Below are 24408 nucleotides of genomic sequence, written 5' to 3'. Positions count from 1 at the left end.
GCGCCCGCGACCACGCCTGGCTAATTTTTTGTATTTTTAGTAGAGACGGGGTTTCACCGTGTTAGCCAGGATGGTCTCCATCTCCTGACCTTGTGATCCGCCCACCTTGGCCTCCCAAAGTGCTGGGATTACAGGCGTGAGCCACCGCGCCCGGCCCCGGGGCCAGGTTTCTAAGACCCTGTTGACCTCCTTGCCTCGGCCTCTGTCTCTGCTGCCTCCATTTAATTTTTTGTTTTCTTCCACATTAACCTTCCCTAAGCTCCATCTCAGTTCCCCTGCAGGCCTAGAATGTTCTTTCTTCTCCCCTCTTTCTACCCAAATTTCCCCTCCTCAGCTCCAGAACTCTTCCAGGGAGTCTTCCAGGATACACTGGTCCCCAGTAAGCACTTAGGTCCCTCTGAGCCCCTATGGTGACTGGCACCCAGGACTCCATTTTATTAACAGCCATTATGTATTGAGGGCATATTATGCACCAGACATCTTTTTTTTTTTTTTTTTTTTTTTGAGACGGAGTCTCGCTCTGTCGCCCAGGCCGGACTGCGGACTGCAGTGGTGCAATCTCGGCTCACTGCAAGCTCCGCTTCCCGGGTTCACGCCATTCTCCTGCCTCAGCCTCCCGAGTAGCTGGGACTACAGGCGCCCGCCACCGCGCCCGGCTAATTTTTTGTATTTTTAGTAGAGACGGGGTTTCACCTTGTTAGCCAGGATGGTCTTGATCTCCTGACCTCGTGATCCACCCACCTTGGCCTCCCAAAGTGCTGGGATTACAGGCGTGAGCCACCGCACCCGGCCCAGACATCTTTTTATATATCATTAATCTTCTCAACAAGCCAGTGATGTAGAGATTATTACTCCACCCCATTCTACAAATGAGAACTCTGAGGCCCAGAGAGGTCCAGTGGCTTTCCCAATGCCACAGACCTGGCAAGCAGCAGAGCCAGGATTTGAACCCTTGTGTTTACTCCCTCACAGCACATGACAGTCGGCTGATCTCCATCTGTTTCCCAGCCAGAGAAGCAGCTCTCAGAGAACAGAGACCCACCCTGTGTTTCTCTGGTGACCACCCACCCTTACCCCCTGTACCTGGCCCACTCCTGGAGCCCAAGCATGGTGGCCTTGTATAGACAGGCCTGCATTCCAGGTCCCAGAGCAGGAGAGGCCCTCGTGGGAGGGCCAGGGCCAGAAGCCCAGAGTGCCAGCTTGGTTACCCAGCCCACCACTGCACTGTCCCTGTTAATTCAGCCAGTCTTCTGAAGGTTGCCAGCCCCCACGCCCTGTCCCTGGCCCCTCCTGGCTAGGACAGAGGGCCTTTCAGCCTGGGCTGCCACCATGACTGCCTTCTCAGGAGGGGCTGTTTTTCTAAACTTTTGATCCTGAGGCGGATGCAGACTGCAGGCCAGTGAGGTGTCGGGGGTTCTGTGTGGTGGGATGTCCCACCCTGGGGGTCCATTTCTGGTCACCTAGAGATGACTGCAGATGGAAGGGACCTCTGGTGTCAGTATATCGGGTAGTAGCATGTGCATGTGTGTGTGAAGGTGTGTGCTGTGCATGAGGGGTGTCATTTTAAAGTCCCCACCACAGACAGGGGGATCTTTGTCTGCACTGCTCTGCCTCACCGTCCCATCAGAAGGGCCCCTGTCTGATTATTTTTATAGGGTAATTCAGACTTCTCTGCCTCACTCTGTCCTTCAGTGACTGTTTCAAGATCAATTTACCTTATTCTGCTTAGAGTAGAATGGCAGCTGGGGAACTCAGAAGCCAGGGCCTAATTCCCAGCTTCGAGGCGCTCGGAGCCTCATTTCCCCACTCGGAGCCTCCAGAGAAGGAGGGAAGCAGCGATCACCAAAGTAAATCGTGTCACTAGAAAGCAGGGGCAAACCACAGGGTCTCCCTCTTCTCTTTCCCCACCGTCAGCCACAGGTTCATTTTTTTTTTTAAACCCAGAACCCGGATTGCTCATCTGCAAAGATTCTTTATTCTTAATGCTTTATCTGCTCATCTCTTTGACTCTGCCTCAGTCTCTTCATCTATAAAATGGGGATAATAATACCTAACTCAGAGTCGTTTTGGGGATGAAATGAAATATAAAGCTTCTAGGATAGTGCCTGGCACATAATGAGGGCTCATTAACTGTTAATAATTATTACTATTAAAAACAGGTACTGAGCCCTCCGCTGTACGGCGGCTGGCATTCTCAGGGAAGTTGTTCTGTGCCCCGGAAACAGGCAAGTTTGTCCAGAGGAGCCGGTCTGCTTTGTTTAAAGCGCCCTCTGCTGACCATCGGCAAGAAGGCCTTGGGCAAGGTGGCGAGTTCATGGTGGGGGAGCGAAGTGCTGAGTGCCAAGGGGAAGGGGGACTTCTGTCGGATGCAGAGCGCAGAGCGCTACTTATCCCACCCCTAAAACGTCCGGCTTGGAGTATTTCTCTTTTTTTTTTCCCCAGGTTCCAAAGATAGCTTCCCCAACAGGGCTCAGCAATGCTAAGACCAGGACAAGCTGCCAGCTGCAGTTAACAGCCTACTCCCTGGCTGTGAGTTAACAGTAGAAAGGAGAGAAGCTACATACCCAGCATGCAGCGCTTCCTGAGGCAAAGCGTGATGGGGGTTGGGGGTGGGGTGGACATGTTGGTTCATACTTCGAATAAGGTAATAATTGTGGGAGGGCTGCCCCATGTAGGATGTCAGATCAGGAAGAAAATAAATTACTGAGTCTATAAGCCCAATGCACCCAGAAGGTGGTGGTTCATAACAGCTCTTGTTTCTTATATTGCAAGACCCTCTCCTGTACCAGTGTCCAAAATAGATCATCACCCCACCTGCAAATGCACTGACCATTCACTATATCCCTGTGAGAGGAATAAAAAGAGGACTCTAGTTGAAGCAGGAGAAACTGAAGTTAGACCGCGGGAAGGACGGTCCTGAGAATAAAGCTAGGTGCAGTCTTGTCCCTCCAGAGTCTGGCATAGGAAGAATGCCCCCGGGGCTGGTCCACAGAACTGACTACTTCTTCAAGGGGGCAGAGTAAGGGGGCTGGGAGACTGGCAGCCAACACCTAAGGATTCTCTGGGGCATTCTGGTAGGTCCCAGCTGGGAGGGGAAGAAGGGGAAAGGGGAAGCGGCCGCAGCAAAATCATGGGTAATTGTTTTTATTGCATTGTAGAGAATGCCATTGTCCACAGATTACATGCAGCTAGGTTTACCGTACAAGGCCCTGGCAGCCTCCACGGAGGGCTGGGAGGGGCAGATTACAAAACACATCAGTGCTACTTTTTTAAACAGTATCTGGTGGGGAGACTCTGAGACCAAGCTGAGCTCCCCAGCCCCTCTCGAGGTACCATGGGGGACAGGGAATTCACCCCAGGCCCTACACAAGCGTCCAGAGGATTAGGGCTGTGGTGGAGCAGGCCTGCAGAGTGGATGAAGGTGAGACAGAGAAAGCGGGGCGAGTGAGCGACAGACAGAAATAGATGGACGAAAAGGACAAAAGACATGCCTGAGAGTAGAGAGAGGTCAGCAAAGACTCACCCTCCAGGTCCTTCTCCCAGCATTTGGCTGGAGAGTTCCAGCAGTTTGGTGATTTGTGGGAAGGGTGATTGACTCCAGTTCAGCTTTCTCAACACCCTCCCCTCCCCTGCTCCCCAAATACACTCTTCCCTGGGCCTTGTCCCTAGGGACAGGCCTGGGACTCCTTTCTGCCCTCAAGGAGGGAGTGTCCAGAAGGTGGCGTAAGACCAGTGAGAGCCGGGTGCAGTGGCTCACGCCTGTAATCCCAGCACTTTGGGAGGCTGAGGCTGGCGGATCACCTGAGGTCGGGAGTTCGAGATCAGCCTGACCAACATAGAGAAACCCCGTCTCTACTAAAAATACAAAAAAATTTAGCCCGGCGTGGTGGTGCACGCCTGTAATCCCAGCTACTTGGGAGGCTGAGGCAGGAGAATCACTTGAACCTGGGAGGCAAAGGTTGCAGTGAGCCGAGATAGCATCACTGCACTCCAGTCTGGGCAATAAGAGCGAAACTCCATCTTAAAAAAAATAAAAAATAAAGACCAATGAGACGGCTGAGGCCCTGGGGATGTGCACAGGGGTCTGAGGCGGCGGGAGGGGCTCTGTGTTGAGGAGGGGCAGCAGGTGGGGAACCAGGACTTAACACGGGATAAGAGGTGCAGGCTGGTGTGCTGGGGCTGGGGGAGGTGTCAGGGGCCATCTTTGGCTTAGCAGCTTGGCCCTTGGCCTCTTTCCTTGCAGCCTATCCAGGGTCCCCTTTGTATAGGTTGAATGATCCCGTTTCCGCCGTGAGCCCACTATGATGACCATGGTCACCACACAGTGTGCCACGTGGGTGTGCACGCACACTAATGGTCCTACTGCTTCAGGATGCCACCACCACACCTGGGCACTACACACACACACGCCTATCCAGGCAGCCCCCTTGAAGACGTGGACAATGGGCCTGGAAGGACACCTGGGAATGGGTGTGGATGTCTCCAGAGCTGGTGGCACAGGTAAAAGAACCCTGCGGCGGTGGTCCTCTCCATCCCTGCAGCAAATCAGCTGCCTTGCTCCAACACTCTGGCAAGAACTTGGATTTCAAACTAGTGAAAGAACTAGGGCAAAGGATTGGGACTCTGGAAGAAAACAGGAAAATGACAGAGAACCCTGTTTAAGCGTGGAAGGGACAGGAGGCACAGGGGAACCGGAGGTGGGTGGGCCCTGTCCACAGTGAGGGCACATGCCCAGCGCCCCTGCAGGGCTGCTCATTCCATCCACTCACAGAAACCACCACCACAGCGACCCTCACGTTGCTGCTGCTCTGCCCAGGCTCCCCGAGCAGAGCGATCTTTCAGCTTTAATGCTCCTCCCCTCCCGCACCTCGGTGACACACACAGGGCCCGGTGAATAGAGGACGTTTAATATTTCTGTGCTGGTCAAACGGAACACAGGTGGGGAATACATGGGGAGGGGGCGGAGGGCCCCCTGCCTCTCAGGAGGGGTGGCTTGTGAGGGGTGTATGTGGGGGGTTCTTGGGAAATATCCAAGGAGTCTTCTCAGTAAAGGGGCCAGGCCAGGGGTGTTATGAGCATCCGATACGCCCAGTCCTTGGCCTTGAGTTGGGGGTCCCCCATAGGGGGTCTGTGGAGAGTCTGACTTTTTTCCAGCTCTTTTGCTAGAATCCACACTCCCAGCACGACGGGTGACTTGGTCCTAGAGAGGGGTCTGGAGAGCCCCCAGGAAGCAGCCCAGGGTCAGGGAGAAGGGCTCCCGTGCCCACTCCTGAGGGGGTGAGAGCCCGCTTTCTCCCCTCCTTTCTCCTTCCCCCAGGCTGGGCAGGAGCGGAAGGGAGGGGGGCAGGGCCCTGCCTCCACTGAGCCCCAGGGTCCTCAGGGTGGATGGAGGAGGGGTGGAGAGAGAAGGTCTTGGCCACCAACAGACACTGTAAACTTTGGTTTAAAACAATAACTTAAGTGGAGGGAGGGCTTCCAGCCTGGGGCCGGGGTGGGAGACTGGGAGGGCAGGTGCTGGGGAGGCGACAAAGGAAAAAGCCAACAAAAAGTTTTGGTTTTTGCTTCCGGCATAAGAAAGGTCTTTGGTCATCCGTTTAACTGGTGGGGCGGCGGGGGGAGAGGCGGGCAAGGAAGGGGAGCTGAGGGTGACTGCAGAGGAAGGGGAGCTGAGGGAGGGTGAGAGGACTGCAGAGAGGCCTGCAGGCTGGATGTGGGTGTGGAGCCGGGGTCCAGCCTGGCCTTCCCCTGGGCTCCCGGCCCAGGCCCCGCCTCTGGCCTCAGGGAGAGCTTGGCTCCACCTGCAGAAGCGCACCTGGCACAGACCTCTGTGGGTGAGGCGGTACCAGGCCTCTTCCCATGGGGGCGGCTGGAGGAGCCCCCAGCAAACGGGGGTGGGGGTGGAGGCCTGGCTCAGCCTGGTTCTGTCTCAGGTTGGGGGCGGGTCTGGAGCCAGGTGGGCCTGCTCACACGGACCCCCACAGGGCACACAGACAGTCCCACCCCAGCAGCAGAGGGGGCTGTTTCTTCTGGGGATGGAGGCACAGTTCCTCCACCCAGGCCAGGGCAGGGTGGGAGCTGGGGTGGAGAGTTCTTTCTTCACAGTACGGAAAAGAAGGCGGAAGGGAGCACGAGTTAGGAAAGTGGGGGCCTCTGGCCAGAAAACACGGCCAGAGCCAGGTGCCAGGGGGCCCTGGGTTTGAGGGGTGGCTAAGCCCCGCCTGCGGGTCTCCATGATGCTGAGGGGCCCTGTGGGGAGAGCTGGTGGGGGAGGAGGGCCCTGCTGCTGCTGGTGGTTGGGGGGAGGCAGTTTCAGATGTGGGGAGGGTCTGAGGAGGGGTCTGAACCCTCCGTGTCCTCTACTGGTCCAAGACCAGGGGTTGTGTCCCTGGGGGTGGGGACCGTCCCTGCCCCTACGTGTTTTTGTCAGGTCACACTGGGAGCTGCTGGCCCGGGCCTCCCCGGTCTGAGTCCTGGACTTGCCTTGAGGCTCGGGAGGGGCTGTGGAGTTGGGGGAGATGGGGCCTGGATTCTGGAAGGGAGGGGTCTCACCCCAGCCCTGCCGGTCACTACAGGCCCTTAGGACAGTTCTTCTCCCGGCAGCTCCTCCTCCAGGTCCCTGTCTTCCGGAGGCCCCGAGGCGCTGGGGTTAGGGGCGCCCAGGGGAGGCCCGGGCTGCCTGTCTTCCTCTGCCTCTGCTGGCTCCTCCTTCACCTGCACCTGGTGGCTGAGGCAAAAGTATGGCATGGGCACCAGGCGGCTGTCCTCTGATGCCCTCTGCCCCCTGCCCCCCAAACTCACCCAGAACTCTGGGGCACAGTGGGGTGCCCACAGCCCCCTCCCCAGGATCCCATCAGACCTGAGGGCTGATCTCCCCTAGGGCTCTCTTCAAAGAAAAGCTGGTCCTGGGGCAGAGACTGCTCTGGGTTGGGGAGGAGAGAAGAGGGGAGCAGAGGGGAGATGAGCGAACGGAGGAAGGAGAAGAAAGATAGAAGAGAGGCCAGGCGAGGTGGCTCACACATGTAATCCCAGCATTTTGGGAGGGCGAGGCCAGTGGATCACCTGAAATCAGGAGGTCGAGACCAGCCTGGCCAGCACGGTGAAACCCCATTCTCTACTAAATACAAAATAATTAGCTGGGCATGGTGGCAGGCACCTATAATTCCAGCTACTTGGGAGGCTGAGGCAGGAGAATCACTTGAACCCAGGAGGCAGAGGTTGCAGTGAGCCAAGATCTTGCCATTACACTCCAGCCTGGGTGACAGAGCGAGACTCCGTCTTAAAAAAAAAAAAAAAAAAGAGAAGAGAGGAGGAGGAAAAATAAGAAAGGGGGAAAATGGGGAGGAGAAGGTGGGAAGGTGGGGAGGTGGGGAGAGGGGATAAGAACAGGCAGGTGGGACAAGGGAGGGCTGAGAGGGCTGAGGGAAGGAAGAGAGAAGCCACTTGTCCTGGGGAGAGGCGTGGTGGGGGTGGGATGGGGAACCCCACCCAGGGTGGGGGATGACGCCTCCTCCCTGGTGGTTGAGGGGTGCTGGGGTGGGTGGGGGTCCGTGCTGTGTGCTCACCTGTACTGGGGCGGGGAGAGGCGAGGAGGGCTGCTGCTGCCGTTGCTGGGCAGCGGCTCCACGGGGGCACCCACGTCATCGTGGCTGAGGGGCAGCAGGCTGCTGGCGGAGCCAGGGTTCAGCATGCCAGGGCTGTTGAGGAGGGGGAAGCTGCTCTCGGCCAGGGCGGCCTGCAGGGGCACAGGGTTGGGCCTCGTCAGTGGCTCCACAGGATGGGGCACACTCAGTCAAGTGCTGTGCCTTCCCCGCCCACTAGAGAGCTGCCTGTGTGTCTGCCTACTGGCCCCACGGGCGGATCTGTCTGGGCAACCCCCAAGCCCCAACTCAGCCTTTGAATGTAGCACCCCTCCCCCATGGCTGGAACTCTGACCCCCCGACCTCCTACCTCCTAGCTTTCCTGGAACCTGGGCCTGGCTTATCCCCTCTCCCAGGGAACAGAGAACCCCCAGACTGACAAACCAGGAAAGGGGATGCTATAGGTATGCCATCCTCCCAGCTGCCTGCCTTGTCTGAACCCAGCCTTGAAAGCAGAGGTGGAGGCTGGCCCCGAGTTGGGGTGGGGCAGAGAGGTGGGGTCTCGGAGAGTTTGGGTCTTCACCCTCCTTCCCTCCTCTGGTGAGTCCTCTGCAGGGGAGGATGGGGGTCTCTTGTATGAGAAAGCAAGGGGGCGGGAGGTAGAGGTGAGTGGGTGGGCTCTGGGCAGGTCACCTGGTAGCTGGCATTAAGTGCTCCATAGCTGAGGCCAGAGATCATGTTCTTCACCAGGGTGGGGCTCCTGGAGGACAGAGAAGGCCATCTTTGGCTCACTCATTCACTTAGCTCTTCATTCGCATCTCTTTACTCTCACTAAGTAACGGCCTGTGCTGGGAATGGGTCCCATTCCCTATTCCGGGAGGCCAGGGCGGATCAGCCGCTGTCTTGGAGCTGTGTGTGTACTTGGTCTGATTCGGTCTTCACGCTCAACTGGCCCTGCAGGAGCAGCCCCTTCACAGGTGGGTGCGATGGGCTTGGTTCAGGGACCTGTCCAGGTCTCGGAGCTGGGAAGTGGGAACTGGCATCCCCCCAGTGTCTGCCTTCACAGCATGCTGCCCCCCCACCCGTTTTCTCTCCGGTCTAGATTTTCCAATGTTTGGCAAGGTCTAATCTATAGTCTCAGTAGTTACACACCTGGTCTGCCCACACTGTCTTGCCATCCTAGATTTTGGGACATGTCAGACATATGCTCAGCCTGTCCCACATGGAGGCTTCTGTATGGAAGCCTCCATACAGAAGGCTTCTCTGCACGGGAAGGTGTTCGGGAGTTGGGACAGGAAAAGCAGTGGCTGGGGGCTGTCCCTCTTCCAGTGATGACACCATCACAGAGCTCTCACAGAGCTTAAGGAAACAGCCAAAGGTCACCAAACTGGTGAGAAGCAGAGGTGCAAGCGCAGCCAGGCCTGGAGACTGGCCCCTAGGCATTCACCAGGGGATGGCTTCCCTCCATTCTCCAGGCTGCACACTGCCTGGGGTGCAAAGGCTCCTGCCTGGTAAGCAGGCATCTTTGAGGGGAGCAGACACCCCACACCTCAGAGACATCCATCTAACTTGCTCTCCTCTCCTTACCCAGGGGCTCTGGCCCAAGGGGCACAGCAAGCAGGTGGCTGGGGTGGGGCTGTTTGAGGTCGGGAGAAGGCCACTGCTGCTACGTGGAAGCCAAAGGGAGGTCCTGACCCTGTCCCAGGCTCCTCAGTTTCTGTTTAAACTGCCAGGTGGAGGCTAGGTGCGGTAGCTCACGCCTGTAATCCCAGCATTTTGGGAGGCCGATGCGGGCAGATCACCTGAGGTCAGGAGTTCGAGATCAGCCTGGTCAACAGGGTGAAACCCCGTCTCTACCAAAAGTAAAATAATTAGCTGGGTGTGGTGGTGGGCGCCTGTAATTTCAGCTTCTCGGGAGGCTAAGGCAGGAGAATCGCTTGAACCCACAAGGTGGAGGTTGCAGTGAGCCAAAATCGTGCCACTGCACTCCAGCCTGGGCAACAGAGCAAGACTCTGTCTCAAAAAAATAATAGGCCAGGTGCGCTGGTGCACGCCTATAATCCTAGCACTTTGGGAGGCCAAGGCAGGTGGATCACCTGAAGTTGGGAATTCGAGACCAGCCTGACCAACGTGGTGAAACCACATTTCTACTAAATACAAAAAAAATTAGCCGGGCGTGGTCGTGGGCACCTGTAATTCTAGCTACCCGAAAGGCTGGGGCAGGAGAATTGCTTGAACCCGGGAAGTGGAGGTTCCAGTGAGCTGAGATCGTGCCATTGCACTCTAGCCTGGGCAACAAGAACAAAACTCCTTCTCAAAAAAAATAAATGAATAAAATAATAAAATTAAAAAAATAATAAATAAATAAGTAAATAAATAAAATGCCAGGTGGTGAAGTGAAGCTGAGCACAAAAGACCAGGAGGGCAGAGACCTGGTCCTGGAACCAGCTCTGCCACAAATCTGCTCTGGGGCCTCCTGCCAGCCCCTGGCCCTCACTGGCTCTCCTCTGCCGTAAGATGAATTGGTGGGGTCGCGGGACCTCAGAGGTCTAGTCATCCTGATGAGCTGAGAGAGCGGGTGCCCTGGGGGTGGCAGCCCCTCACCCATGGCCCGTTGGCTGGCATCTGCCTGTGTGCCAGCTCTGGCCAGGGCTACTTGGGGCCCCTGTCTCTCTTTGCTACCAGGCCTCCTTCTTGGCCCCTTCCCTCAGTCAGAGTGAGGACAGAAGAGGACATAAATGTCTGCCTTCTGATTATCCATCACTTCCGGATTCCAGCCCCCTGTCCCCAAGCACTAGTCTCCTCTGCTCCTTTCTCCCCACACCCCTTCCCCCAGCCAGGAAGGATCTGGTGCACATGTGTACCCTGGAGAGGTAGGGGGTGGGGGTGAGTTGGCTCCTGCCCCCTGGGCAGGTACAGCCCATCCAGCTCTGGACCCACATACCCTGTCATCTTTGGCGGTCTCCGCTTCTGATACTCCCGCTCGTCCACAGTCCACACGGCACCCTTGACGTTCTCCACGCGGACGAAGCACTTGTGCAGGCTGAGGTTGTGGCGCACGGCGTTCTGTGGGTGCAGTGAAGAGGAGCTCAGAGGCGGCTTGCTTGGCCAAGCACAAACATGATAGTCCTCATCCCATCCCATGTCCCACGCAGCAGCGGCCCACCTTCCCCAGCTCAGGGATGAGCAGGGGAGGGGGGTGGGCTGGGAGGAGACCCAGCCAAAGGGAAGGCGGGCCCCTACCCTTTCCATAGAGCCAGGGGTTCCCAGCCTCTTCACCATGGATGACCCATTTTATTAGCTGCCTCCTCTCTCCCTGCCACATCTTGGAAAGTTCTGTCTACTAACTAAATGCTATCCAGTTAGTAATAATCTGTTTCATCATCTTCGTTAATCAAAGACACATGTAATTGTTACTCAGGGCTTTGGATCAGCAGCAGATCACATTCGGGCCCCGGCATCTCTGCGAGCCCAGGATGCTTCATCTCAGCTGCATGCAGAATTTCCACAAAGCTTTTAAAAGTTTGGGAAAGAGCTCATAAACCCTCACTGCCACCTCCACTGACCCACAGGAGTCTGGGAGCCATGCTTTGGCTGTGGCTCAGAACAGGCAGCTTATATTTTGAGAGCACAAGGTATACAGTAAAGGCCTCATACATACTTGTTGAAATAAACAGGGAGAGAGGAGAGTGTGGGTTGACAACCCAGAGGCAGAAAGAGGAGAGAAAGAAGATAAGTCACCTTGTCTGTCCCACCTCCTCCTGGCAGGATAACTTCAAGAATTGAGGTCATCTGGTTTGTAGGACGCTTGGGCGAGGGCGGGGTGCTTGGCCCAATTCCCCCCTCACCACCATGGGAGCCCGGACTAGGGCCCTAGTCTGCCCCACCTCATCGTGTCCCTCAGTCCTGTCCCTGCACCCTCCTCTCTCAGCTGTGCTGCCCCCACGGCCAGCTCCCAGTTATCACCATCCCTGCCTGCATCCCTGGACCCTGTTACCTGTCCTCCCTTAGCCTCCCCCGCCTCGTCCCCATCCTTGTCTCCTCTTTACATTTCTAAACGGGGAAGAAAGCGGGTAGGGCAGGCAGCCCGTGCCCCTGGAGATCCCTCTCCCTCTCTCCCTTCCAACTCTTGCCACTTGCAACTGGCCCGATTTCATTACCAATTTTAATTTGCCTCTAATTAAATCCTGTGTATTTTTCCGACTCGCTTGCTAATCCACGAGGGAGGCGGGCGGCTGGAGTGGAATCTCTTGGAGCGATAATTACAAAGGGCCTAATCACGCCGGGGCTCCTGCCTCGGAATAAATTTGCCCGCATTACGGGGCTCCGATCCTCCGCTTTGCAAATGAGAATGACCCCAATTTCCGAGGATGGCCTCACCGGGGCTTTTTTCCCTCATTTCGAAGCCTGATTCGTGATGAGAGACTAATTCGTTACGCTGAAACATTAACGGCAATTTAAGGGGTCTGGCAGGGGCTTCGTAAACAAAAGGACGGGCCCACAACACGGGCCTTGGGAGGGGATGGACACGGGGAGGGCCAGCAAGGACCATCAGCTTGGCAGATGGCAGCTCTGTCCCTGGATGAACGGCAGCTGGCTGGGCCCACACCATGCCCGCTCCCAACCCTTCTGCCCTGGTCTGAGGTGGAAAGTATCTCAGGGTGGGAGCCAGCAAAGGTGAAGAAGGGAAAGAAGAAAGCACAAATAATTCGGGAGAGGAGCAGAGATGACCTGAGGGGCTGAGAAATGAGTGGAAAGTAGAGGTGGAAGGGAAGCAGAGTTGGGTGTAGATGGTGTATTTCCCAAGTAACATGAATGCATTTGGCTGAAAAAAACCAGAAGGTCAAAGTGGACCTCAAGCTGGATGGATTCTGCTGTGCCATGAGGAAGGCTCAGGCAGTGGCCTCAGGCACAGAGGCAGCAGCAGAACACTGCTAACTGGCAAAGTCACCCACTTAGTCGTTCACTTTCCCCAGCCCAGATGCTTCTTACTGGACCCTAGACTAGGTGAGGGGAGATGGGGGTGAAGAACTAGGAGGAACACACCACAGAGATGTGAAAGGCTGGGCTGGGCAAGGGCGGCAGGGTTAGAATATCAGGGGGGTGGCTTCAGGATGGTCACTGAGTAGTTTAAGGAAGTCACCTAAACCAGGTCACCTAACCTGACCTCAAGAGAAGAGAGAATTAGAAAATTGCAGCAGGGCATTACAGGTAAGACAGAAGGAAGGAAGGAAGGTAGGTGGCTTAGCAGTACTTTGCCCCCAAAAAGGAGGCTGTCTTATGGAAAGGAGGCTCTATATTACTACCCCTAAAGGCAAAAGATTAATATGCTTTATTAAACATTAGGTAATAATTATAATCATCCCTTATGTTTGTAGGACTCTATCATTTATAAAAACCTGGTATCTGAACTGACTTGGAGGTTGGAGACTGGACCAGGTGGTCCCAAGCAAGCCCTGCTGGCTCAGAAAGAGGGCAGGAATGTGGTTGGCAGAAAATGACATCACTCACAGCCAATTACAGCAGCTGTCCCAACAGCCTCCCAGCTTCTCTCCCAAGCTTTGGGAATTGGGTATGAGCATATGAAAGTCATGATGCAGTCCCTTCTGCTGCACTTAGCATAATCCCAGGGCAAAGGGTAGGCAGGCACTGTGCAGACCCCACCAAGTCCTGGGCGCTGGTGGGGAGGAGGGGTTCAGTAACACTTGTTGAAACCTAGTGGGATTGGGGGAGGTAGCCCGTTTAACTGCAGTTTCTTCAGTGGCCAGCAGGGGGACTCAAGAGCCAGGGATCCAATTAAGGTTCTGAGAGGGAGTCCTTCCCCGCGTCTAACCTTCCCTGCAGGGGCGAACACTCTCTCCTTCTTCCCCCCGCCCCGCCCACTCTCCCAATTTAGATATCACCTTCCCACCTTGAGACAGACAGACAGACACACACACACACCCCCCTTTTGGCTATAGAAAAATAAATGGCCTAGTACCCCAGCATCTGTCTCCCATTTTTCTAGAGTCCCCCTCTTGCCTGCTTCTGCTCTCCCAGGAAAACTTATGGCTGAAGGTGTTGAAATGACTAATTGGATGGAGACAATTATCTTCCTGCCAGGGATGGCAGAGCTGGGGAGGGCTGTGAGTGCCGTCAGTGCCCCAATGTGTGGTCCACGGCTCTTGGTCCATCCGTGTGTCTATACCTGCGCTTTCCTAGCCCCACCTCAGGCTTCAGAACATGTACCTTAAGCCAAGGTATCCAGACCCTTAGGGTCTCTGTGAAATTCGGCCCAGGCTTCTGTATCAAGCTTGGGCATTAGCAATTCCTAGAGGCCCTACCTCGTGGGGCTGGCGTCTTTGGGGCCCTTGGGGGTGTACCCTAGAGAAGGATTGCTTCCCAGAAAGGAGGCAGCACCAGGCTGGAAGGAAGGGATCATTAAAAGGTTATGGAACAATCCACAGCCCCTGCTGAGGTGGGCGTGGGCATGCAGCCCTGGCTGGGCCCTTGGGTGGCTGTTTCTGCAGGACTAATGGTTTAGGGAACTAATTGTTAGGCAGCCTTGGTCTCCATGGGATATGGCAGGTCCAAGGGTGACTGGGGCCCAGAAGGTGGAAGGGGCCTGCTTCACCTTCCAGGTGGCAGTGTTTCTGCGGAAATAGGCGAACATCCTGGTGAACCAGTTATAGATCTCATTCAGGGTCAGCTGCCTGTCAGGGGTTTCCAGGATGGCCTGCGGGGAAGGAACAAGCAAAGGGACCGTCAGCCTGGGCCTCGAAGGGTCACAGCCCTGGGTTCCCTCCCCCAGTACCTCTCCCTTCTGCCTAGCCCCGAGTTCACTTTGTGAGAAGACCTGCTCAGAAATGTGTGGATAACAAGATGGGTGGTGGCTGGTGGGTCCCCTCAGAGGGACAGGCTGGTTATAGCTTGGCCAAGGATAAAGAGGGCAGGAGCCTCCAAGGGCTATGTATTTGTACAAGAAGGATTGGAGCTGCTTCTGGAGAGAAAATGCCTTTAGTACCTGGCCCTGCACCGAGGGTGAAAGCAGTCAGTCCTGTCTTTCTTGGGAGAGATGTCCACGGGGTGGAGGCTGTTTGGAATTTATCCTGATTTTGGCAAAAGGTACCCTAAGCACAGTGTGTGTGTGACAGAAAGAATGTGTGTGAAGGTGTACATGCCTGTGTGGGTATCAGGGAGGACATATGTGTCGATGTAAGTTCATGCTTGAGTGTGAATACTATGTGAACATTGGTGACATGAAGATCATGGGCTTGAGGGAGGAAAGACAAAGGAGAGAGACGAAGAGTGACCCTGAGTCTATCATGGCGGGCTGTGTACGTGGAAATGAGCACATGAATGCCACGGTGGGTGTCAGTAAGAAGAACAGTGTGTGCACCCCCAGAGACACATAACCCTATGCAGCAGGCTGACAGGGCCCAGCCTGCAGGAGAGCCCCGCACAGCAGAGAGGGAAGACCGCCACGTGAGAGGGAGCGGGACAGCTCCATTGCTTGGCCCCAGGACCTTCCTGGAGGCAGGGGTGTGGCGGGGGCTGGGGGAGCAGCCTGTGTGCCATTCCCCACCCTCCTCCTACCTGCCCTGCTCACCTGGCGGATGAGGGAGGCGTAGGTGAAGGGGGGCCGGACGTCGGCGTTCTTGTAGAACTCATGATTCTGGGCCAGCTCTGGGGAGACAGGCAGAGGATGAGGTAGCCAGATATGGGGCTCAGATGGGAAAAACAGCCTCACGCTGCTGTCGCCCTGCAGCCCCCAGCCCACCCTCACCTGAGGAGATGGGGGAGCAGAACTTGTCACTGCTTCTCCGACGGGCTGGGCCCCCACCATGCAGGGAGGCAGAGCCCAGGCCAGGGGGCCGTAGAGGGGTGACAGGGGCTGCGGCCGAGGTCGGGGGGTGCACGAGACCATCTGGGAATGAGTCTGCTGCAGAGACGGTCACCTTGGAGAATGAGGAGGAGCCGGGGACCGGGTTCAGCTGTGAGCAACGGGGAGGGTACTGAGACCAGTGCCCGAGGGTGGGGGTCCCGAGGCTCCAGGGTCTGTGGAAGGCTCTGGGAGGGGCGGGGAGGGGAGCAGCACTCACTGGCTGGCTGAAGGGCTTGGGCTCCGAGGGCCGCATGTGCAGGTGGGCCATCATGGCCTGCAGCCGCTCGCTCTCCTTGGCGAGCTGTGGAGGGTGGCAAAGCAGGAGGTGAGCGGGAGGCTGAACCCTGGAGGCAGTGTTGTCCCACCCCTCCACCGCCAGGCTCTTCAGAAGGCCGCCGATTCCCACCCCCATTCGCCTCCTTGCCTCAGCATCCATGCTCCCTCTGTGACCCGCTCCAGGGAGGCCTCAGCAATGCTCTACCCCTCAAGGGCTGCCAGCTCCATGAAGCCTCTCCCTTTCTCCCCTGGATGGTGACCATTTGAGCCCTCCCAGTGCGTCCTGGCTGGAGCTTATCCCTGCCTCTACATGTTGGGAGGCTTCTTCCTACCCACCCACGGGGGGGCGGCCACTGTGCCTTGTGCAGTGGCACTTGTGTGTGAGGGCCTTGCATACTGAATGCAGATGCAGGAACTGATGAATGGCTCAGACACCCCATTCATAAACTCAATGGGTCTCTCATGACCACCCTCTCACAGCAGGATGCTCTGCTAGGTGCTGGAGGGAGATGGGTAAGCACAGAGGAGCTGCCCTGAGTTGCTTCCTGGGAACCCTGTGCTGCTGAGTGTCCCCTCTCAAGTAGCTGGGATACTCCCTTGGGAAAGCCAGGCTGCCTGGGTTCTAATCCCAGCTCTGCCACTCACAGGCAAGTTACTTTAGCTCTGTGTGCCTGTTTTCTCCATCTGGAAAATGGGGAGAATAATGGTACCCACCACATAAGGTTGTTGAGAGGATTCCTTGAGCTATATAAAGTATTTAGCACAGCACAAAGTAAGTGCTCCATATGTTAGCTGCTAATAATTATTTTTGATGTTTCTATGTAGCGTGAGTCTCTTCTGGACCTCCCAGCAGAGACGCCCCCAACCTTGGTTTACCCCTCAGAATCCAGCTGTCCTCACCTCACAACCATGGTCATTAGGACCTAGAAAGCATAAGATGGTGGCTTTGACCATAGGACCCTTCCATGAGACCCTCCCAACAGAGCCCACCTAGCAAGTCAGTGCTGTGGGTGGGCAGGGGCTGGAGCCCACCATGTCCCTCCCCAGCATCTTCCGGGCCACACCTGGATCTCCAGCTGCTGCACCACCTGCATCTGTACCCGGCACTGGGCTGTACTCCGGTCATCCAGGGCGTGCTCTGTGTTGAGGTGTCTTCAAGGGGAAGAGAGGAGGAGAGAAAGTTGGCTCCGGTTTCCCTGCTGCCACCATCCTCCCATCCTATCCTCTAATCCCACCCATGGCCTGAAAAGCAGACAGACCAAGAGATACAAAGAAGAGAAAGAGGTGGAAAAACGGGGCAATGGAGGAAGGCTTCTCCCTTCTCGTCAGCCTCCTTTGATGTCTTTGCTAAAATCCCAGCTACAGAGAGATCTAATTGCAAATGAACTAATTAAGTAAACCTCTGACGAAGCGTGAAAACAATTTGTTTGACCCTGATGCTGCAAGGGTCTGGGAGACAGCGGAGTTAATCAGTCAGTGACAGAGCCTGGCACGGCTGTGGCAGCTGGCCGCCTGCTGCCAGCCGCCCGTCCACCTCCCGCCCTGCCTGTCTGCGGCCCTCAGCCTGTCACTCGCCATCACTCCCCGGGGCTGAGGCTGGAGGGGAGCAGGGGAGGGTGGGGGGAGGAGTAATGCTTATGTTTGTCCTCTCCTTCTCCTACCCGCACCCTGCGCTGGGGATGGAGTCAGGGGAATGCAGGCCCAGAAATATAGACAGGGTAGGGAGTGGGTGATCAGGGAGTCCGTGGGGGGCAGAGAAAGAACTAGAACCCTCTGGAGTGAGGACAGTAGTACAGCTAGTGAGGAGGGCTCCCAGAAGGGGCAAGCTAGTGGGCAGGGTTGGGGGAGAGGCCCTGTGGGGAAAGGCTGCTGGGGGAGGGGCTGGGGGTGACACCTACTTGATAAACTGGCCCAGGTCTTCACACAGGGTCTCACAGCCTGGCCACTTGCACTCTCCGTGTCCGTACAGGGGGTGGGAGCCGGGGGTCTCCTCGTGGGAAGAGCTGGGAGGACAGCAGGGAGGTGGCCGATCAGGGACCCTGAAGACCCCAGCGGCCCTGTAGTCAGCTGAGCACCAGCTCCCCTGCTGGTGACATTTCTGCCCCAATACAGGTTTCCCAGCGGCCAAGCACCATCTGTACACCCCGGGAGAGGGAGTGGAGAGGGAGTGAACCTCCGGTCCGTGGGCTCCACCCCCTCCCTCACAGTCAGCCCTCATGGGTGGGGGGCCAGGTCTACCCCCAGGCAGGCCTTTGATGCCCCTCCCAGCCTGGACCCCTGTACCTGTCTCTCCGAGATGTGAGCACAGTAGGCTGTCCGTTGGGCAGGGTATGGTGGGAGAGGGGGGGTGAGACCTTGGGGGGAGCGGCAAACGAGGTAGCGGTGGCGGCCGTGCCAGTGAGGTCCAGCCCCTCCTGCTTGACGCTGTCCTCGGCAGGCTGCCCGGGGGCACCCTCGCCCTTCCACAGCTGGGGCAGGTCTGTTGGGCAAACAGCTGCTGTGGGAGAGACAGGGGAGGCTGGCAGGGCCCCACGAACACTCGGCTTTCTACCTGGCCCCAAGAACAGGGGCTGCCAGCTGTTGCGTACAGGCAGGGCTGTGGGGTTGGGGCTGGGAGGGGAGGAGTGGCGGGTGCTCACCTTGCGGAAGGGTCTGGAGGGGCCCCGAGGCTTGGTTGGGCTGCAGGCTGACCAGCCCCTGCCTCTGCAGGTTGAGCAGGTGCTGCTGCTGCAACTGTTGCATTTGCAGGAGCTGCTGCTGGAAGGCCAGCTGCTTGTTCCCCAGTGCCTGGTGAGGGGCCCGAGGGGGCGGGCAGAGAGGGGTGCCATCAGCTTCAGGCATGCCATCTGGCCCCCACCCCGCGGCCACCCCCTCCCAGGGCCTGTCAGCCCCTGGAGCTGTCGTTGTGGCGTCTGCAGCTGCAGTGTCTCTGCTCCCGGCCCAGCTTCCATAAGGCTGCATGCCTCCTCGCAGTAAACACACGCATGCACGCACGCACGCACGCGCGCAAACACACACAGCCAGACCCAGACACGCAGCACGACGCCCTCCCTCCTCCCGCCTCCCTCCTTCCGCTGCTTCAGCTCCCTGCACCGCAGCTGTGCACGCCTGGGGGTGCCTCATCACAATGATCGATGAGCCTGTCAGATTCTGGGGGCCACTCCTGCCTGGAGGGCACCCTTCCCACATGCCCGGGGTGCCCCCTTCTGCTCTGGGGAGGGAGTTTTCTCTCCCCCAGCTCTTTTCCTCTCTTGCTTTTTAGATACAGAGAATCAAGGAGTCTGACGGGACTCACTGGGACCCAGGCTCGGAGAACAGTCACATCACCACTGCCCAGGCGCCCTGTACTCGTTGGCTCACCCACTCTACCTACCCCCACCCATTCAGTTCTTCACACAGGCACTGACAAGTCAGGCTGTCAGCAAGTCTCTCTTGAGCCCCATGAGCCAAGCATGTCCTGGGTGGGTTGAGAGGCAGAGATGTCTCTGCCTGCCTGCTGGGGGTGGGAAGCATGGGGTAGGGTGGGGGCTGGCTATTCAATAGAGAGACACAGGATAAACTTAGCCTAGAGATTTACCTGCTGATAACACAGCAATTACAAGACTGCTGAGGGGGAGACTGGGGGTGCTGGAGAATTCCTGGGTGTCAGGGCAGCCTTCTGGGAAGAGGAAACTTAGAGCTTGGGGCTGCGGTTGGGCAGCAGGAGAGATGCACAGGTCTGGGACCCAGGGGAGAAGGGCCTCCAGGGCCTGGTATAGAAGCTCCGATGGGGTAGGGGATGTAGGCTGGGGAGCTCTGAGAGGAGACCGAGGGGTGGCTGGGCAAGTCATAAGAAGAAGGGGAAGAAGCTGGGGGCAGGCTGAGGTAAGGGGAGGTGGTTTGCTGAGGGACTCAGAGATTCGCAGGACAAGGAGGGGAGGGCTGAGGTGCTGGGTCACAAAGAGACAAGGGGGCAGGAAGATGGTGCGACCACAAGGCACATGAGCGTGGCCCGGCAGACACCACACACGGGGGTGACACGTACACACCTGTCTACACCCATGTGCACAGAGACAACAACACGAGGCAAGGAGAGAAAGAATGAATGGGGATGAGGGGAGATGGAGACACGTAAGAACCACCATCCCCATTTCCCCCACACTGATCCTTGGTCCCCTTCCTCAGCCTTTTCTAGATTTTTCTACTATTCCTGCAAGGCAATTCCCTCCTGACCAGCTCTGGACACCCAGCTCTGGGCAGGGGGTGAGGGCGGTGGTGGGCCCTGGTACAGCCCCTTACCTCTTTGGGCTGCGGTTTCCCAGCCTGCTGCTGGGTGAGGAGCTGCAGGTGGAGCTGCTCCTGCTGCTTCTTGTAGTACTCCTGTAGCTGGGGGGGTGGAGGAGGGTTACCACTGGCAGGGTACTGCTATCCCCACAACCCCAGCCCTGTCCCATCTGGGCTCCTGGGGGCAGGAGAAGGGAGTTTCCCTAAAACATGGTCTGGCTTTCCCCAGTCAGCCTGGAGGGGCCCTGAGCAGGGTCTGGGTGCGGAGGGAGGGAGCAAGGGATGGAGGAGTTTCATTCCCACAGCTCTGAACCCTCCCTGCTTTTGGTGGATCTCCTGAGCAGGTCACAGGGGACAACGTGCCAGAATGTTCCAGTACTTTGCCCTTCCCTGTTCAGGAGATAGAAGTGGGGCCAGCATGCAGGGAGGGAGGACCGGGGAGTATTGTGGGGGCAGGGCCACCATAAGAGATGCCTGACCTTTGACCTCTCCCCACTACCCTAGAGGAATGCAGATCAGTCTGGCCTGAGCAGTCTCTCTGGTTTCTGGGACAGCTTGGGCCCTTGGTGAGGTGTAAACAGGGTGGGAGGAGCCAGGCCAGGCAGAGGAGGAGGGACCAGCTGCCCTGGGGCCAGACTCACCTGCTGGAGCATGAGGGCTTGCTGCTGCTGGAGCAAGGCCTGCAGCTGCGGGGGCGACAGGATCTGCTGCATCTGTTGCGGGGTAAGCATCTGCGGCGACATCATGGCCACCGACACAGGCACCTGCAGGATTCGGCCCGTTAGCCCTGTCCCCTGGACCCCAACCCAGGAGGAGGCACCACCCAGGGCCCCACTCTCAGCGTGGCAGAGTGGCTCCCAGGGAGGCTGCCTGGGTTCCAATTCTGGCTCTGCTGCCTGCTGGCTGTCTCTCTCTTTGGACAGTGACTTACCTTCCTGTTGTCTGTTTTCTTTATCTCTAAAACGAAAACAGTGATAGTACCTACCTATTAAGGTCACCATAAGGACTAATCAGTGAATACTTAAAACAAGGCCTGGCACACAGCAAGTGCACATAAGGGTTGGCTATTATCATAGGACGGGCTGTCCTTAGAGCAGGAAGATTAGGCTGTAGTGACACTGGTCAGTAGAACCCATGCTTTGGCTGGTTCCCCCCAGTAATGGGGAGGGACAGCATACCAGGCCACCCATAGTCTCACGCAGTCTATTTTGAGACCACTTCCTGCAAGGTAGGCCTGGCTGGGAGGGCAGTCTACAGCATGGGAAGGATTCAAAACGTGGCCCACCTTGCACGAGGACCTGCACTTTGTCTCCTCTCACACACCCCGGCACACCTGCCTGGACGGCACACACAGTGGCCAGAGGTGAAGCCCACAGAGCGCTCTTGGTGCCATCCTGGTCCTAATGTGTGTGCATGTGTGTAGCTATGTCTAGGGTGGGGTGGGAAGAATGGCAGGCAGGGAGTTAGCAGGGCAGGCTTCCGCTCCTAACTCTGCACTGAGCTGGCTGTGTGACTCTAGCAAGTCACTTGCCCTCTCTTATGTTTCGGTTTCCTCAAACATAAAACATAAGAGACTATGCTGTAAGAGATGATTCCTTCTAGGCTGGAACATTCAGGATTCTCAAAGTAGAACAGCTTTCTACCCCCTGCCCTGGGTCAGGCCTCTATAGAAGGCCCAAAGAATCCAGCTACAGGGAAAAGATTCAGAGAAAAGCAATGACATCATTCTCTTCCCAGCCCCACCTCCCCTGAACCCCCCAGGCTTGTGCAGTCATGGACAGGCAGGTCTCAGCTGCTATTTTGTCTTGTTCCTGTATTAGCAGGACAGGTGCTCTGATGGGGCTGTCTGCCGCCCCCTCCACTCTGTGACCCCATGCATACAGGACTCTTCTCTAATTTCCTCTCTCACTCCCAAGTTGTGGCAGAGTGCCTGGCACATGGTAGGTACACTAAGTGTTAGCCCCCCTGAGCTGAAATGCCTTCCCTGGCACCTCAGAGGCCCCTCTGCCAGCCCGGAAGCAGGAAGGGAAGGTTACAGGGCTAGCCCAGTCAGAGAGGAGTGCTGTGTAGGGACTTGTCCTAGGCTGTGACAGGCTAGGTCCTCAGGGGACCCTCTCCCAAGCCTCAGCCTCACCTGTGGGGTAGGGGAGGAGGAGTTGGATCTCTTTTCAATGCCTGGCAGAGGCAGGACTCAGCCTTGAACCACCCCTTAAGCCATGGATTAGGAAATCCCCAGGCAGAGAAGCAACCAGGGAGGTACAGTGAATCCAAGGACATTGGGGAATCCCATGGCTCCCAACACCTCTCGCTCACCCCATCACTGGCGGCTGTCCCTGCCCCTGGGCTTTACTCCCCTATCCCAGCCCATCTCTATCCACATGGGCCTGGGAGGGGTAACACCTAGCTCTTTAGTCATGGGCATACCATGTGAATGAAGGCTCCAAGAGACCTCTAAGCCAGTGGGGGATATGCCCTTAGGAGTGTTTTTTGTTCTTTGTTGTTGTTGTTGTTTTTTAACCTCATTTTTACCAATGAGGAGACCAGGAAAGTCTGGTGGCCTTAAGTGGCAGGGTTGGGATGTAAGCTGAGGTCTGCATACTCCATAGCTCCCAGGGTTTTCACATCCTATGCTGCCTGCCCCACCGCAGGGCAGGTCTTGGGAAGGGTTAGGGAGAGAATGTGGAGGTGGGACGTCCGGAGGCTGAGGGGGCTGATGAGGCTGAGATCCCAAAGGCTAACTTCCTACTCTACGGTTGTATCCTAGAAGGACTCTCTGAAAGCCAGGCTGCAGGGGTGGATGTGGTGGGCCTGGGGTTGGAGGCAGACAACGGCATAGACCCAACTCCAGAGCCAGCCCCTAAGTCTGTTGTTGGGTGTTCCAGAGGCAGCTGGGGAGGCTGCTCAAAGAAGGTGGGTTTTGCCATCCAAAGACATGGAACAAGTACCACTGTCCTTTCTTTCCTCCTCCCAAGGGGGTGCCCAACAAAGAGAGGCATCTTGGTGCAGGTGAGCTCAGAGCCCTAGATTTCTGGGTCAGGTGACCTTGGTTTTTGTCCCTGATATTTACTAGCCTTGAAATCACCAAGCCTCACTTTCCCGGTCGGCTAACTGGGATTTGGGGCACCTGCCCTCCCTGCATCATTAGCAGACGTTGCTGACTGCTTATTATGTGCCCAGCACGGCACTTGGCTAAGCCCTTTACACGTGTATCTCATGGAATCTTCACGGCAACCCTGTGAGGATGGTGCCATCATCATTAACATCTCACAGATGAGATGGGAAAACTGAGGCCCAGAGAGGTTAAATAACCTGCCCTGACCCTGACCCGGAAGGGACAGTGGGAGCAGGGGTGAAAGTGACTTGTACGCCATTAAATTCTATGTAAACGTGAAGAAAATCACTTTTTAAAACATTCTGGATTTTCCCTTTCCCCTCCTTCTCTGTCTCCTCCCCTGGTGTGCCTTAGGGTGCTGCCTGACAAAGGTCACTGAGGACCAAGGCACTAGGCCACTCATTCTCACTGCTGTGAGAGCTGAACTAGAGACGAACGTGGCCCGCAACAGGAAAGACTGAGACCAGACACTCAGAAGATCTTTCCAGGCACCAGGACTGTGAGTCACTGACAGGAGCATGTGAAAAAAGGATGTGGCCTTTCCTTCCTCGGGCCTTTCTTCCTTGGAAGCAGGGGAATGGAAGAGATGACCTTGGAAGGCCTCCTTGGCACTTGCTTTTCCTGCCACTTGGCTGAGCAGCTGCCTATGGAGGCTGCTACAGAGATCTGGATGGATTACATGGTGTGCACTCGTCTCGAGGTGGCCCACTGGGGTCACAAAGGGTCTGGGAAGTGGCTGCCGCATGCTGATCTCCTGAGTTGGTTGACCTCATCCACCTCTCCTTGTGCCCCTTGGGGGTCTGAGAACTGAGCTGGAGCTCCTCTGGTGTCCCGCTGGCCCCTTGCCAGGCTCAGATGCCTCAGGATGGGCGCTCTGCAGCTAGCAGGCTCAGCAGGGCCCATGAGTCACCATCTGGAGAGTAGCTGGGCAGCTAAGTGCTAACTTAAGCCCTGGCAGTGTGAGCCCTGGGCCAAACGCCGGCAGCTGCCTCCAGCCCCTCCCTCAGGGACCCTGCACCCACCCATGAATACAGCGTGCTCGGCTGGACGGTCTGACTGGAAGGAACAGGGACAGTGCCTGACACACAGGAAGCTTATTTGAGGGCTGAGAGTGGGAACGAATGCAATTTGGTGCCAGGGTCAAGAACCCAAATTGTCTCTTGAGTATGGGGTCCCTGTGAGTGGGGGGCAATGTGGGGAGATCAGGCCAGAGTTTGGTTTGGCTTAAACTCTCCTGCAAATGACCAGAAGTCCTCAAACTAATCCTGGGCTGCAGCTGCAGCAAGGAAAGATAGCAGTGAGATATAAAGAAGAAC

General features: G+C 56.7%; 1 protein-coding gene and 1 non-coding gene across 17 annotated transcripts in view, besides 8 other annotated features; both read right to left on the bottom strand.

Annotated features, from left to right (window-relative positions):
* Positions 2148-2442: an enhancer, noted in NCBI's record as "tiled region #5412; HepG2 Activating DNase unmatched - State 4:PromP, and K562 Activating DNase matched - State 12:CtcfO". NCBI's record gives its function as "activates a minimal TATA promoter and a strong SV40 promoter by Sharpr-MPRA in HepG2 and K562 cells {active_cell/tissue: HepG2 | K562}" and the evidence as "EXISTENCE:reporter gene assay evidence [ECO:0000049][PMID:27701403]".
* FOXP4 (forkhead box P4) overlaps positions 3129-24408 on the bottom strand; it is a 56004-nt gene continuing 34724 nt past the window's right edge. For 4 of the 16 annotated variants that reach the window (XM_011514289.3, XM_011514292.4, XM_017010233.2 and 1 more), the window contains 14 exons: positions 20622-20744; positions 19996-20082; positions 18357-18504; positions 18001-18235; positions 17616-17720; positions 16782-16869; positions 15659-15742; positions 15343-15550; positions 15166-15242; positions 14191-14292; positions 10522-10643; positions 8271-8337; positions 7563-7732; positions 3129-6724 (listed from right to left, as the gene is read on the bottom strand). In XM_011514289.3, coding sequence (XP_011512591.1) covers positions 6577-6724; positions 7563-7732; positions 8271-8337; positions 10522-10643; positions 14191-14292; positions 15166-15242; positions 15343-15550; positions 15659-15742; positions 16782-16869; positions 17616-17720; positions 18001-18235; positions 18357-18504; positions 19996-20082; positions 20622-20744 — 1764 coding nt within the window. In that variant the 3' untranslated portion in view covers positions 3129-6576. Of the gene's footprint in view, positions 6725-7562; positions 7733-8270; positions 8338-10521; positions 10644-14190; positions 14293-15165; positions 15243-15342; positions 15551-15658; positions 15743-16617; positions 16641-16781; positions 16870-17615; positions 17721-18000; positions 18236-18356; positions 18505-19995; positions 20083-20621; positions 20745-24408 lie in introns of those variants that run through there. The other 12 variants (NM_001012426.2, NM_001405825.1, NM_001405824.1 and 9 more) reach the window with 10 other exon arrangements.
* Positions 6105-6688: an enhancer, noted in NCBI's record as "H3K27ac-H3K4me1 hESC enhancer chr6:41566563-41567146 (GRCh37/hg19 assembly coordinates)". NCBI's record gives its function as "activates a minimal SCP1, AML or CMV promoter by ChIP-STARR-seq in primed H9 embryonic stem cells {active_cell/tissue: H9 hESC(primed)}" and the evidence as "EXISTENCE:reporter gene assay evidence [ECO:0000049][PMID:30033119]".
* Positions 6689-7273: an enhancer, noted in NCBI's record as "H3K27ac-H3K4me1 hESC enhancer chr6:41565978-41566562 (GRCh37/hg19 assembly coordinates)". NCBI's record gives its function as "activates a minimal SCP1, AML or CMV promoter by ChIP-STARR-seq in primed H9 embryonic stem cells {active_cell/tissue: H9 hESC(primed)}" and the evidence as "EXISTENCE:reporter gene assay evidence [ECO:0000049][PMID:30033119]".
* MIR4641 (microRNA 4641) lies at positions 6725-6790 on the bottom strand. Its single transcript, NR_039784.2, has one exon. It is a non-coding gene; the product is annotated as a microRNA 4641 (primary transcript).
* Positions 11176-12534: an enhancer, noted in NCBI's record as "VISTA enhancer hs1100". NCBI's record gives its function as "enhancer in: hindbrain (rhombencephalon)[7/8] | midbrain (mesencephalon)[8/8] | forebrain[7/8] | other[6/8]" and the evidence as "EXISTENCE:transgenic organism evidence [ECO:0001131][PMID:17130149]".
* Positions 20089-20668: an enhancer, noted in NCBI's record as "H3K4me1 hESC enhancer chr6:41552583-41553162 (GRCh37/hg19 assembly coordinates)". NCBI's record gives its function as "activates a minimal SCP1, AML or CMV promoter by ChIP-STARR-seq in primed H9 embryonic stem cells {active_cell/tissue: H9 hESC(primed)}" and the evidence as "EXISTENCE:reporter gene assay evidence [ECO:0000049][PMID:30033119]".
* Positions 20669-21248: an enhancer, noted in NCBI's record as "H3K4me1 hESC enhancer chr6:41552003-41552582 (GRCh37/hg19 assembly coordinates)". NCBI's record gives its function as "activates a minimal SCP1, AML or CMV promoter by ChIP-STARR-seq in naive H9 embryonic stem cells {active_cell/tissue: H9 hESC(naive)}" and the evidence as "EXISTENCE:reporter gene assay evidence [ECO:0000049][PMID:30033119]".
* Positions 21249-21828: an enhancer, noted in NCBI's record as "H3K4me1 hESC enhancer chr6:41551423-41552002 (GRCh37/hg19 assembly coordinates)". NCBI's record gives its function as "activates a minimal SCP1, AML or CMV promoter by ChIP-STARR-seq in naive H9 embryonic stem cells {active_cell/tissue: H9 hESC(naive)}" and the evidence as "EXISTENCE:reporter gene assay evidence [ECO:0000049][PMID:30033119]".
* Positions 23475-23976: an enhancer, noted in NCBI's record as "H3K4me1 hESC enhancer chr6:41549275-41549776 (GRCh37/hg19 assembly coordinates)". NCBI's record gives its function as "activates a minimal SCP1, AML or CMV promoter by ChIP-STARR-seq in naive H9 embryonic stem cells {active_cell/tissue: H9 hESC(naive)}" and the evidence as "EXISTENCE:reporter gene assay evidence [ECO:0000049][PMID:30033119]".

The sequence above is a fragment of the Homo sapiens genome, chromosome 6, assembly GCF_000001405.40.
Source record: "Homo sapiens chromosome 6, GRCh38.p14 Primary Assembly".
NCBI lineage: Eukaryota > Metazoa > Chordata > Mammalia > Primates > Hominidae > Homo > Homo sapiens.
This window is presented reverse-complemented; position numbering and strand designations above follow the sequence as displayed.